General features: G+C 39.2%; 1 protein-coding gene and 1 non-coding gene across 4 annotated transcripts in view; both read right to left on the reverse strand.

The window, feature by feature from the left end:
• DDX52 (DExD-box helicase 52) overlaps positions 1-13,030 on the reverse strand; it is a 33,708-nt gene that overhangs the window by 5,134 nt on the left and 15,544 nt on the right. For all 3 annotated transcript variants that reach the window (NM_007010.5, NM_001291476.2, XM_011524233.4), the window contains 8 exons: positions 11,916-11,988; positions 11,023-11,226; positions 9,472-9,562; positions 6,526-6,648; positions 6,255-6,405; positions 6,001-6,076; positions 4,896-4,967; positions 3,420-3,512 (listed from right to left, as the gene is read on the reverse strand). In NM_007010.5, the coding sequence (NP_008941.3) occupies positions 3,420-3,512; positions 4,896-4,967; positions 6,001-6,076; positions 6,255-6,405; positions 6,526-6,648; positions 9,472-9,562; positions 11,023-11,226; positions 11,916-11,988 (883 nt within the window). The remainder of the gene's footprint in view (positions 1-3,419; positions 3,513-4,895; positions 4,968-6,000; positions 6,077-6,254; positions 6,406-6,525; positions 6,649-9,471; positions 9,563-11,022; positions 11,227-11,915; positions 11,989-13,030) is intronic.
• MIR378J (microRNA 378j) lies at positions 59-167 on the reverse strand. Its single transcript, NR_106744.1, has one exon. It is a non-coding gene; the product is annotated as a microRNA 378j (primary transcript).

Raw genomic sequence — 13,030 nt, forward strand, 5'->3', positions numbered from 1 at the left:
AAAGTTTTGAGAAAATAATCAATGTTTGCAAACTATTATTATAGTAATACAAAGTTCTTTGGTGTATATTAACTCATATAATCCCAAATCCCAACTCTACACAGGGAAGTAGATATTAGAACCAGTTCTTCTGGCTCCAAATCCAGTTCCTCCCCGACTCACTGCATGGGGCTGAGTTTGTGATGCCTGAAGTGAGGTCCACTAGGCAGCAAGGATTCAGGTTTGTAGCTCAATGGGGAAGTTGGGGCTGAAGATAACAACCTTAAGAGCGATCAGCACAGAAATATGAGCTGAGCCTATAGGCATGGGTGGGATCATTAAGGAAACATCTATAGCATAGAGGTAAGCCAGAGTTGGATCATGATGGGTCTTGCTTGTATGCTATGTTAAGTAGTATGGCCTTTACATATGAAGAAAATGGAGACACAACCAAAGCACCTTAAGCAGGGGGCTGATATGACAAGATTTATATCAAGTGTCTTCGAAGTCTTAGTACAAATTAAGTTTTAATAACCTCAGAAGAAGGCAGGTGCAGTGGCTCATGCCTGTAATCCCACCATGTTGGGAGGCAGAGGTAGGCAGATCGCTTGAGTCCAGGAGTTTGAGACCAGCCTGGGCAATATGGCAAAACCCCATCTCTACTAAAAATAAAACAATATTAGCCAGGCACGGTGGCATAAGCCTGTAGTCCTAGCTTCTCAGGGGGCTGAGATGGGAGGACTGCTTGAGCCCAGGAGGTCGAGGCTGCAGTGAGCCCTGATTGTGCCACTGCACTCCAGTCTGGGTGACAGATTGAGACCCTGTCTCAAAAAACAAACAAAAAACCCCAGAAGTATAAATGCTATAAACTTATAAAAATCAGCATTTAGACTGGGCGCGGTGGGTCATGCCTTAGCACTTTGGGAGGCCGAGGCGGGCGGATCACAAGGCCAGGAGATCAAGACCACCCTGGCCAACATGGTGAAACCCCGTCTCTACTAAAAATACAAAAATTAGCTGGGCATGGTGGTGTGTGCCTGTAATCCCAGCTACTCAAGAGGCTGAGGCAGGAGAATCACTTGAACCCGGGAGGTGAAGGTTGCAGTGAGCCGAGATCGTGCCACTGCACTCCCGCCTAGCAACAGAGATTCCATCTCAAAACAAAAACAAATCAGCATTTAAAGTATAATTATTTAAAATACTGATGTATCTTATTAAAATTCAACATAGCCACCATCTTATGTTCTAGTTGATTTTTGACCTTTGTAAAAACTTTCATCAGTTGCTGCTCAGTGCCTGAAAGGACTGCATTTGTTATCTTGGCTTTAAGACCATCCAAAGAGTAACACATACACAACAGTTCTGATGTGACCCACTCCTCTCCTACCAACAAGTCTATTAAGACAGATTAGGTGACCAAAGTGGCCAAGCATAACAAGGTTCGCTACCAATCCACTGGTCTAAGTGTCACCCAGAAACTGTTGCGACAGAAAATTAAAATTTAAAAATGTTGGCCAGGTGCAGTGGCTCACACTTGTAATCCCAGCACTTTGGGAGGCCGAGGTGGGAGATCACATGAGGCCAGGAGTTTGAGAGTTCGAGACCATCTTGGCCAACATGGTGAAACCCCATCTCTAGTAAAAATACAAAAAAATTAGCCAGGCATGGTGGCGGGTGCCTGTAATCCCAGCTACCCAGGAGGCTGAGGCACGAGAATCACTTGAACCTGGGAGGTGGAGGTTGCAGTGAGCCGAGATTGCGACACTGCACTCCAGCCTGGGCGACAGGGTGGCAGAGCAAGACTCCATCTCAAAAAAAAAAAAAGTAAATGTGATTGTGAAGCATTCCCAAAACTGAATAAGTACAAATGGAATTTGTACTTATTGATTGATTGACTATTCAAATATACTTTTTTCAGTTTGTAGCACTTATCCTTCCCAAGTTATTAAAAGTATGATAAAATTTTGAGACACTATATATACACTGTATATTTGAACCGACTTTTATTCCTCATAGACAATACCAACATGTGAAAACTCTTGTTCACTTATTTACAAAGCACACTCTAATTTTCATGCCTCTATTCATCTTGTTCCCTTCTCCATGCCTAAATTTTACCTATCCTTAAAGATAGTTCTACTTTGTTGAAACTTCTGTAACCACACCAATTCACAATCATCTTTCTCTTATCTCCTATTTTATTTAAAAGCCAGTCTCTAATTTTCTGTCATGTACACGAATCTTCTTTACCTAACTTCAGGAAAGGATCTCATTTTATATTCATTTGTATACACTACCACCACCAAGTACCTTGCAGAACAACTTGGTAAATGCCTACTGGTTGATGGAAACAGTTTTTTTCTAATGACTTCTATAGAACAGATGTGAGATAACTGGATATAAGCATTAGCATATTTCACAATGGTAATATCCTAGGCCATTGATAGCACTCTCAGGGGAGAAAAAAACAATAAATTATAGACTTGAACAATTCTATTAGAGTATATAATAACCTGGTTCTGGTAGAATGTGAAGAGTGCCATTTTCCTTAAATAGTGGATAGAGTATAACTGTTCAAAATATCTTGGCCTATCCTTTTCAAAATATAAAGCTTCCTAGTATTACTGGGCAAAATAAGGTAGCCTGTATGAATGCTAAAAAACTATACTTTAATATTCTCATAAAACTCAGCTAAGCTAGCACAAATTTACCTAAGTAATACTTCTTACAGGTGTTACAATGTGCATCTGCGTAAGCCTGAGATCATATTGAAATCCTGCCCAGAATATGGAGCTTCAAAGAAGACTAGATCCATGTAAGTCAATGGTCCTAACTATTGGCCTTAGTAGCATGTCCTAATGTGGGCTGTGTAGAGAAGGTGGGCAGTATAATTCGAATTTATAGAGAATTGAAATAATATTTTCCAAGACGGAAAAAAACAGATCATCAACATATTGGTACAGAAAAATTCCAATATTAAAACAAATTCCTGGCTGGGCATGGTGGCTCACGCCTGTAATCCCAGCACTTTGGAAGGCTAAGGCAGGTGGATCACCTGAGCTCAGCCTGGCCAACATGGTGAAACTCCGTGTCTAATAAAAATACAAAAAAAAAATAGCTGGGTGTGGTGGCGGGAGCCTGTAATCCCAGCTATTTGGGATGATGAAGCAGTAGAATGGCTTGAACCCGGGAGGCAGAGGTTGCAGTGAGCTGAGATCACGCCACTGCACTCCAGCCTGGGCGACAGTGCAAAACACTGTCTCAAAAAAACAAACAAACAAATTTCCCAATTATAGGCAACCTAAAATATATTATTTTTATAACGTTTTATAACAGACTGTAGTATCAATTCTACTTCTAAAAATTTACCTAAGGAAAAATAATGCCTACTATAACTTTATGATGGTGTCAAACAGCCATTTTTCTTACCACATACTTACTGTTTATCCTTAGCTTTTTCTAAGAAACATTTTGGAGTTGTACTAATGCTCTCCCTTTCCAATGGTTTCTTAATCATCTTTTTCTTTTGTTTGCTGAAAGTTACAAAGTAAAAAAGGAAAAGAATTAAGTGCAACTTCAATTAGAAGAGTTAAAGCTAAAATTAGTTTTGATCCTTGATCACAAAATTCATTTTTTTTTTTTCCTTTGAGACGGAGTTTTGCTCTTGTTGCCCAGGCTGGAGTGCAATGGCACAATCTCGGCTCACTGCAACCTCTGCCTCCTGGGTTCAGGCGATTCTCCTGCCTCAGCTTCCCAAGTAGCTGTGATTACAGACATACACCACCACGCCCGGCTAAATTTTTTTTTGTATTTTAAGTAGAGATGGGGTTTCTCCATGTTGGTCAGGCTGGTCTCAAACTCCCGACCTCAGGTCCCGCCCGCCTCGGCCTCCCAAAGTGCTGGGATTACAGGCGTGAGCTACCACGCTCAGCCACAAAATTCATTTTTCAAAACCATTTACTGGTTTAAGGTGGGGCTGTAACTACTTTAATAAACGAGATCGCCTAATAGGATTTACAGAGCTAACTCAAAGGGATGATAAATTCAATCAACCTTTTAGAAAGCTACTGACTGTGATTAAAATATGTCCTGTGCCAACCTTATATCCTGTGTCAACAAGCATCAGAGTTTGATTTTGATCAATTAAGTTTTTTACCAGCTTTATGAACTAAAATAATTCTCAGCATATTTTACTTATACTGAATACTTTTAAAAGAATCTGAATACTTCACATTTCAAGGATAAGCCTAGGTGCAGTAGCTCATGCCTATAATCCCAGCACTTTGGGAGGCCCAGGTGGGCAGATCACTTGAGGTCAGGAGTTTGAGACCAGCCTGGCCAACATGGTGAAACCCCATCTCTACTAAAAATACAAAGATTAGCTGGGCATGGTGGCGCACACCTGTAATTCCAGCCACTTGAGAGGCTGAAGCAGGAGAACTGCTTAAACCTGGGAGGCAGAGGTTGCAATGAGCTGAGACTTCATCTCAAGGAAAAAAATAAATAAATAAAGGATAAAAAACTGGCAAGGAAATAACATGTAATATTCACAAGCAGTTTTGGACTGGGCACAGTGACACAAGCCTGTAATCCTAGTACTTCGGGAGGCAAGGATATAAGATAGCAAGATCACTTGAGGCCAGGAGTTCAAGACTAGCCTGGTTAACACAGCAAGACCCCATTTCTACTCCCCAAAAATCTAAAAAATATTATAGCCAGGCATGGTAGTACATGCCTGTAGTCTCAGCTACTTAGGGGACTGAGGCAGGAGGATCACTTGAGCCTAGGAGATCAAGACTACAGTGAGCTGTGATCATGCCACTGCACTGCAGTCTGGGCAACAGAGCAAGAAAAAAAAAAAAAAGAATGTATATACAAAGAGACAGACAAAGATACAGGTAAATTCAAGATTGTACCTTAGTAGTTTCTGAAAACCTTTTATGTATTCTGGTACAGGACACCCAGCCTGCTGTATAACATTAGCAACGCTGAAAAAGAAACCCATAAACATAAACTTGTATCTTTGCTAAATTGATGTTTATGAATGTAAACCCTCTGCACAACCTTACAGGGAACTAAAACTACACAAAGTAATCCACAAAGTGTTCTGATATATTATCAATTATTACCTGATGTAAGCACATTGGATTACAGAGAGAACTATCCACTGGGCTGAAATTAATGCACTGATGAATAACTATAGATAGCAGCTATTTCAACATTTATCAAGCCCTACAAAACTGGTAAACTCAATCTTGGAGGAAGCACTGACTGAAGCCAGAGTCAAGCTTAAATTCATTAAGTGAAAGTGCCTACTATGGGGTTGGCACCGTTGCCAAGTTTTTTGTGTATAGTAACTTCTTCACTCTTCACAACAAGCCTGTGTTGTAAATACTATCACTGTCCTCATTTCACAGATGGAAAACTGAGGTGCATAGTTTTACACTAATATTTGGGTCATGGGATTCACATGCTTGGAGTTGCTGAGGCCTATGGTGGATCTAGGTTGTTGGAATATACCCCTCTACACACGCACATTTGAATCTGCTTAAAGCGATATAAAGGCTGACAGGTGGCAGAGCCAAAGCTCAGAAAGCACAACCAAAATATTTACCAAAACTGATAAACAGATCTAAGTACAAACCTCCTTTGGCCAAAACTAGATTAGCTAGAAATGTGAAGTGTTAATCATCATCAACCAAAAATTACTATAGGCAGTCAAAATGCAGGAAACTCATCTTCTACATTAAAATCTAACATCAACCATTGAAAGAGTCCTGAGTCTGAAACTTACAATGAACATTCCATTTTGAATATGTATTTCCAAATTCTAATAACGGAAGGGCAAAAACAAGGCCTTTTGATCATTTTTCCTTTCCCATGGCTAAAATTTGGTCAACTAACACCATTATCAGTAGAATTTGGGACATAGCCATTTTGTAATTATCTCTTAATTGAATATACATATAAGAATAATGAAGCAATTTTGCCAATAACACTAGGTTATTTTTTCTAATTTACCTTCTTAATAATGGCTTATCATCCTCAGTGAAAAATGTAATTGCTTTTCCCTTATTCCCTGCTCTTCCAGTTCGACCTAAGAAAAATTAGACCATTAAAAAACACATTTTGGGGGGAAGGAGGCTCTCAAAATTCATTTATAAAAGTCACTGGATTTTCACAGCACTAAGAAGTGAGCATATGTGCAGGGAATAGCAGGGGTCCTAAGACAGATCAGTGGGTGACAGAGGGGAAGGAAAAAAAAGACAACTCACCTATCCTGTGGATATATTCCACTGAGCTAGTTGGAAAGTCATAGTTGATCACCAAGTTCACACCTTTAAAATCAATCCCTCTTGCTAGCAAGGCTGTACAAATCAGAACCCAGATTTTTCCTGCTCTGAAACTGTGGACTGTGTTATCTCTCTGGTTAACAGAATATATATTAAATTGTTTTAGAATGAAAACAGGTACTTCATAAATTTAATGTCAATAGTTTAAAATCAAGTAGTTCTTCTGAGTTTCAAAGTATATATTTGACTTTACCTGTTGTTGTGTTCTCTCTGCATGAATAACATCCACATTAATACCTTCATATATGAGCTCATGAAAAAGTTCTTTAGCCCTTTCAATGGACTGAACAAAAACAAGAACAGGTGGATTGAAACCCTAAAAGAAGACAAAAATTGGCATACATAACTCAATCAAGAATACAATTGGTCATTATTTCATAATTTGATTGTAGCTTTTAAGAACCCAATTCAATTTAGTGTACTTTCTTGGCCAAATTTCTTGGGCTAGTGGTCTAATTCTGCCTCCATCTTCGTCACCATTCTCTCCAATTGGTTATTTCCACTCAACTTGAAATATATTCTCCATCTTGCTAATTCCAATAATGTTGTCTAATCAATCCCCCTACACCCCACTATGGTAACAGATGCCTCAACTTTGAAATAATCATCTCTTGACTTCTGTGCCTCAAAACCTTTTTTTATTCTGCTTAAAATGAAATAATTATCTTTTTAATTCACTGGGTTTTTTGGGGTGAAATTAATTTTTTTATTCTTATGGATTTAGGGGTACAGGTGCATTTGTGTTACACAGATATATTGCATACTGGGGAAATCTGGGCTTTTAGTGTACCCATCACCCCAATGGTGTACACTGAACCCCACAGGTGGTACTTCATCCCTCATTAACTCATTATTTATCCTAACTCTGGTGCTCTCCCCAAGCTTAGTCCTTGGTTCTCAGTTCTTTCAATATAATCTTTATTTTACTGAGTTGAATCTCTACTACTATCTCTAAGTAAACATTTTTTTTTTACTACATCTGATGTCTGTGAATCTAAACAAATTATTTTTACATTTACACTATCAAACCCTTACTCTCTCTCAAACCAGCTATCTTTTTAACCGTTCATATTAGAGTTTCTTAGCCTTTTTTTTTCTTTTTTTTTTGAGACAGAGTCTTGCTATGTTGCCCAGGCTGGAATACAGTGGTGCAATCTTGGCTCACTGCAACCTCTGCCTCCCAGGTTCAAGCGATTCTCCTGCCTCAGCCTCCTGAGTAGCTGGGATTACAGGTGTGCACCACCACGCCTGGCTAACTTTTTTGTATTTTTAGTAGAGATGGGGTTTCACCATGTTGGTCAGGCTGGTCTCGAACTGCTGACCTGATGATCCGCCCGCTTCGGCCTCCCAAAGTGCTGGGATTACACCGGTGAGCCACCACGCCTGGCCGAGTTTCTTAGCCTTTTTATGATGGCTTAAACATCTCTTTTGGAATCTAATGAAAGCTAAGAAACTTTCTAATAAGTAACTACTCATTCACACAAAAATCTTACGTATAATTTTAGAGGGTTTGCAGACCTCCCAAAGCTCAAACATGGCTGAAAACCTCTGGTGTATAATCTCCAAGGAATATCCTGGAAAACCTTAAATTTCCTAGTACCAAATGATTCTCTTAAGAATATTAATAAAATACATTTAGCATTTACTATGTGCCAAGCACTATTATATAATAAGTACTATGCTTGTACTAATGAATTAATAGTAAAACAGCTCTATGAGGTAGATATTATTATCCCATTTTACAGACAAGGAAAATGTGGAAGAGAGGTTAAGTTGTGCAAAGCTATAGTGGTGGAGCTAGAACTACCCAAGTAGCCTGGCTCCTGAGTCCATGGTCTTAACCACTAAAGCAAACCATTCTATAGTCACCAGGTACTTGCAAACTTTTCCCTTCTAGCCTCCAACTATACTTAATGTCTCACCACTAAGGCTGCTGCCCTTATTTCTTCCTCATCTCTGCCTACCCCAGTTTAAAAGCCTGATTGGTTTCCTTACTTTCCATCTTTCCCATTACAATTCACCTTACATATTACTGTTTAACTAATTTTCCTTAAAAATTATGTAGTCACAATTAGCCGGGCATGGTGGCAGGCACCTGTAGTCCCAGGTACTCGGGAGACTGAGGTAGGAGAATGGCGTGAACCCAGGAGGCAGAGCTTGCAGTGAGCCAAGATGACGCCACCGCACTCCAGCCTGGGTGAAAGAGCGAGACTCCATCTCAAAAACAAAAACAAAATTATGTAGTCACATTCTTCAAAAATATCCTGACCCCAGCTTTCCTGTCCCACCTGGTTTTCTTTAATTCCATACCATAAACTGTTTGCCTTAGACAGGTAACTGCTTCATTAGTCTTCAAACACATGGTGTTCACTTCCACCTCTTAAGGGTTTACTCAAGCTGCTCCCCCAGCCGTCAATGCTCTTCCCCTCCACGTTTTATCCTGAAAATCCTTCAAGGATCAGTTTAGTAGCATTTCTTCTATAAGGCTCAACCAATTTGGCTCACCCTGGTGGCCCCATTATGACTATATGGATGCTTAAAAAAGTACTCTTTAGCCCTTTATGACACTTTATCAGAGACTATCTTACACAAGTGTATTTATTTTATCCCTCTAAACAAGACTAAATTCCAGGGGCAGGGCTTAGGAGATTTCTTGTATTGTCCAGTGCTGACACCTCAGTACTTTTTAACTATGGTTTCTACTCAGTTCTTACTGAAAGGATAAAAACAGAAAACCCCACTCAGTGTCCTACAACACCCCAGTTCTTCTATAAGAAACCAGAGGAGGGATGGAGCAGGCAAATGTGGAAAAATGAGATTCTCAGGGCATCAGATAGATCGTTTCCTAGCCTAATCTGAGCTGCGAAAAGACAACTTACCATATTCTGAGAGGCAAGCTTCTGTCCCTTGGGATAAGAGCTGGGACAACACGCTTCTTAACCATTTACTCCTAGATTACTAAATACGATGCAGGATGATCATATAGTTAGCACAATGTACTTTCTTATCAATTTACCAATGGATTACTGAATACGAGCCAAGATGATGATGATACAGTGCTACCACTGTAATAGCCTCCCACTAGTAATATAAGACTTGGCAAACTTTACCAAAATTCAAGAAGGTAATACAAATATACCTTTTTAACAAGTTCTCTCACGGCCAGAAGTTTTCCGGTCTCAGATCCAACAAAGAGAAGCTCTTGTTCTACAGTTTCTACTGCAGAATTCCTGGGAAGAAAATATACCTTGTAGTTTGTAAGAGTTAATTTTTGCTTTTTCCCCTGAACTCTAAATAAATGAAAAAATTTACACACAACTCCAACAAAATCAATTTTTCCACTGTCAATATTAATAAGTACTGAATTATTTATACTTTAACTTGAAGACAAAATTGTTATTTTTAAATGCTTTCTTCTAATTTTAAAAATATCTTGAAATGCCACCCATTAAAACTTATGTTTCAGTCATAAATTTTCAGGTATTTGATTAGTTATAAAAAATTTCTAACTGTAAAATTATTGAGTAAAATAATAAAAATATTTTTAAGGTTGTTATTACACATGGTTAAACATTTTTCATAATGATTAGCAAAGATTTATTTATAGACCAACAGTTAGGGGTGAGATATATTAAGACTTTATTAATACTCTGTAAGATGTTACAATGTACTGTGTTGTATCATAAATATTTTTCCCATTTAATTATTTTTATCTAAATATATTTAAATATACATTAACCATATTTAAATATGTTTAATTTCCCATTGAAATTATGTTTATGGTGAATTCATTCTGCTTTCCTGTTTTTTTTGTTTTTCAAGATGGAATCTCACTCTGTCACCCAGGCTGGAGTGCAGTGGGGCGATCTCGGCCCACTGCAACCTCCACCTCCCAAGCTCAAGCAATACTCCTGCCTCAGCCTCCCAAGTAGCTGGGATTACAGGCACACACCCATTTTTGTATTTTTGGAAGAGATGGGGTTTCGCCATGTTGGTCAGGCTGGTCTCGAACTCCTGACCTCAGGCGATCTACCTGCCTCTGCCTCCCAAAGTGCTGTGATTACAGGTGTGAGGCACCGTACCCAACCTTGCTTTCTTCTTATAAACAGGAATTTTAGGTTTAAAATAGGGTATTCTTTACTGTTCCATTGGCTACTTTTTCACTTAATATGGTACTACAAACACTTTTTCATATAGCTACAGTCTTCCTACATCATTTCAGGGGTTACATAATAATCCATCAGGTAGCAGTATCATAATTTCTTTAAACTTTTTTCTGTCACTGAGCATTTATTTAGCATAAAATGCTCCCCAAAATATTTTTTAAAAGGAAATATATATCAAGTGGCTCAGTGACATCAGGTTCTTCCTCTGTGGTCCACTTATTTAAGCCATCAAAGAAACTAAATCTTCTAGGTGGCCACAGAGCTCATGTTATACTCTGTGGATGGAAAAAAACACCTAAAAGCATGATGACAGGAATGTTAATATGACAATGTAAAAACCTTCTTTTAGATTACTCTAAAATAGAAAATCCTTAAACAATCTTGGCTTAAAAGAACACATTTCAATCAGTAAAACTCTCTCCCTTGCTAGTCTCAGGCCAAGAAACCTATCTCCTTCAGTCTTTAAAAAAGACTTGTATTTAAAAAAAAAATCAGTGTGATAATGTTGAGAAACAATTAAATACCTTGCTCCAATGGACACACTGATGACATTGTCCAGGTTGAGTTTGCACCACTGTTCAACATCATATGCAAAAGTTGCACTGAACATAGCTCTTCGGACCTTGTGGGATGTGCAGGCCAGGAAAATGGAAGCCAGCTGGTCTCTGAACCCAGTTTTGCCATCTTCAAACAGTTTATCTGATTCGTCTACTACAAGCCACTCAACACTAAGAAATAACAAAACAACTTGTGGATACTGAACTGAAAGATCCAAGACACTTCACTAAACTGTGGGGACAGTGGACACATGAGGAAGTCAAACTATAATGCTGCTTCTCAGATCCACTTTATCATACCAAAAAAAAAAAATAAGAAACACAAGCAGGTGTCATGGTTTGGCTGTGTATCCCCACCCAAATCTCATCTCGAATTGTAATCCTCACGTGTTGAGGGAGGGACCTGGTGGGAGGTGACCGGCTCATGGGGGCACTCTCTCTCTCTCTTCCCCATCTGCCACCATGTAAGATATGTCTTGCTTCCCCTTCTGCCATGACCGTAAGTTTCCTAAGGCCTCCCCAGTCATGCCCTGACTTGTGGGTCAATTAAACCTTCCGTTCTTTATAAATTACCCAGTCTCAGGTAGCTGTTTAGAGCAGCATGAAAACGGACTAACACAGCAGGAAAAAGGTAAAAGGAAGATAAACATAGCTTAATGTACCTATTCCAATAGCCTCAAAGATACGAGGTTCCATTTCTTTTCTATGAATTTTTTTAAAAAACCATTATTCTCAGTGCCAACACTGACTGAAGGTGGCAAACAGCAAGCTCCAAAGACAAAAAATACAAGCAATAGAGGACAAAATATAATTAACTAAATTAAAAATACACACGAAAGACATGAAAATATCATCTATACCTTGCTAGGTCGATTCCGGGGGGATCTTGCTTTAATAAATAGATTAGTCGATTTGGAGTAGTCACAAGAATATCTATAGGAAAAACAAATGGTAGAAATTGCAAAAACAGGATTTATCCCTCTTGAACTAGGAATTAAGCCTCCTCAACTTCAGTTAATAACCTGAAGTGGGAAGTAGTCATAGCCAACAACACAAAACTATTATATCCCTACTTTCCTTTTAATATATCTGAGCAGCTTTCTCTTTCTTTTTGAGACAGGGTCTTGCTCTGTCACCCAGCCTGGATGGAGTACAATGTGTGATCATAGCTCACTGCATGCAACTTCAAACTCTTGGGCTCAAGAGATCTTCTGGCATCAGCATTCTGAGTAGCTGGGACTACAGGCACATGCCACTGCACCTGGCTAATTTTTATTTATTACTATTATTTTTTTGAGACAGTCTAGCTCTGTCGCCCAGGCTGGAGTGCAGTGGCACAACCTCGGCTCACTGCAAGCTCTGCCTCCCGGGTTCACGCCATTCTCACTCCCGAGTAGCTGGGACTACCACTAGCTGGGACTACAGGCGCCCGCCACCACGCCCAGCTAATTTTTTGTATTTTTAGTAGAGATGGTAAATTTTTTTTTTACTTTTATTTTTGTAGAAACAGGGTCTCCCTATGCTGTCCAGGCTGGTCTCGAATTCCTGGGCTCAAGCAATCTCCCTGCCTCAGCCTCCCAAAATGCCGGATTACAGGCATGAGCCACAATACCCAGCCTCTTCTCAATTTCTAAGAGGAAAGAACAATTTAATTTTCAAATCTTTTTTTCCCCCAGGAAAATCATTTTTTTTACATGGAATTTTATGCAGAGGCCCAAGATTTAAACAAAACAAAACAGATGAAAGCTTATCTCCAAGTGGACAATGTCAAAAAACAAAAAGAAAAAAAAAAAAAATGAAAGCAGATTCTCTGGCTGATATAAGGGTGAGGATGTAAGCCGTTCTTTTTGTTTTTTTTAAGATGGAGTCTCACTCTGTTGCTCAGGCTGGAGTACAGTGGTGCAATCATAGCTCATGGCAGCCTTGAACTCCTGCGCTCAAGTGATCTTCCCACCTCAGACTCCCAAGTAGCTAG

Source organism: Homo sapiens, chromosome 17 (genome assembly GCF_000001405.40).
Source record: "Homo sapiens chromosome 17, GRCh38.p14 Primary Assembly".
Lineage (NCBI taxonomy): Eukaryota > Metazoa > Chordata > Mammalia > Primates > Hominidae > Homo > Homo sapiens.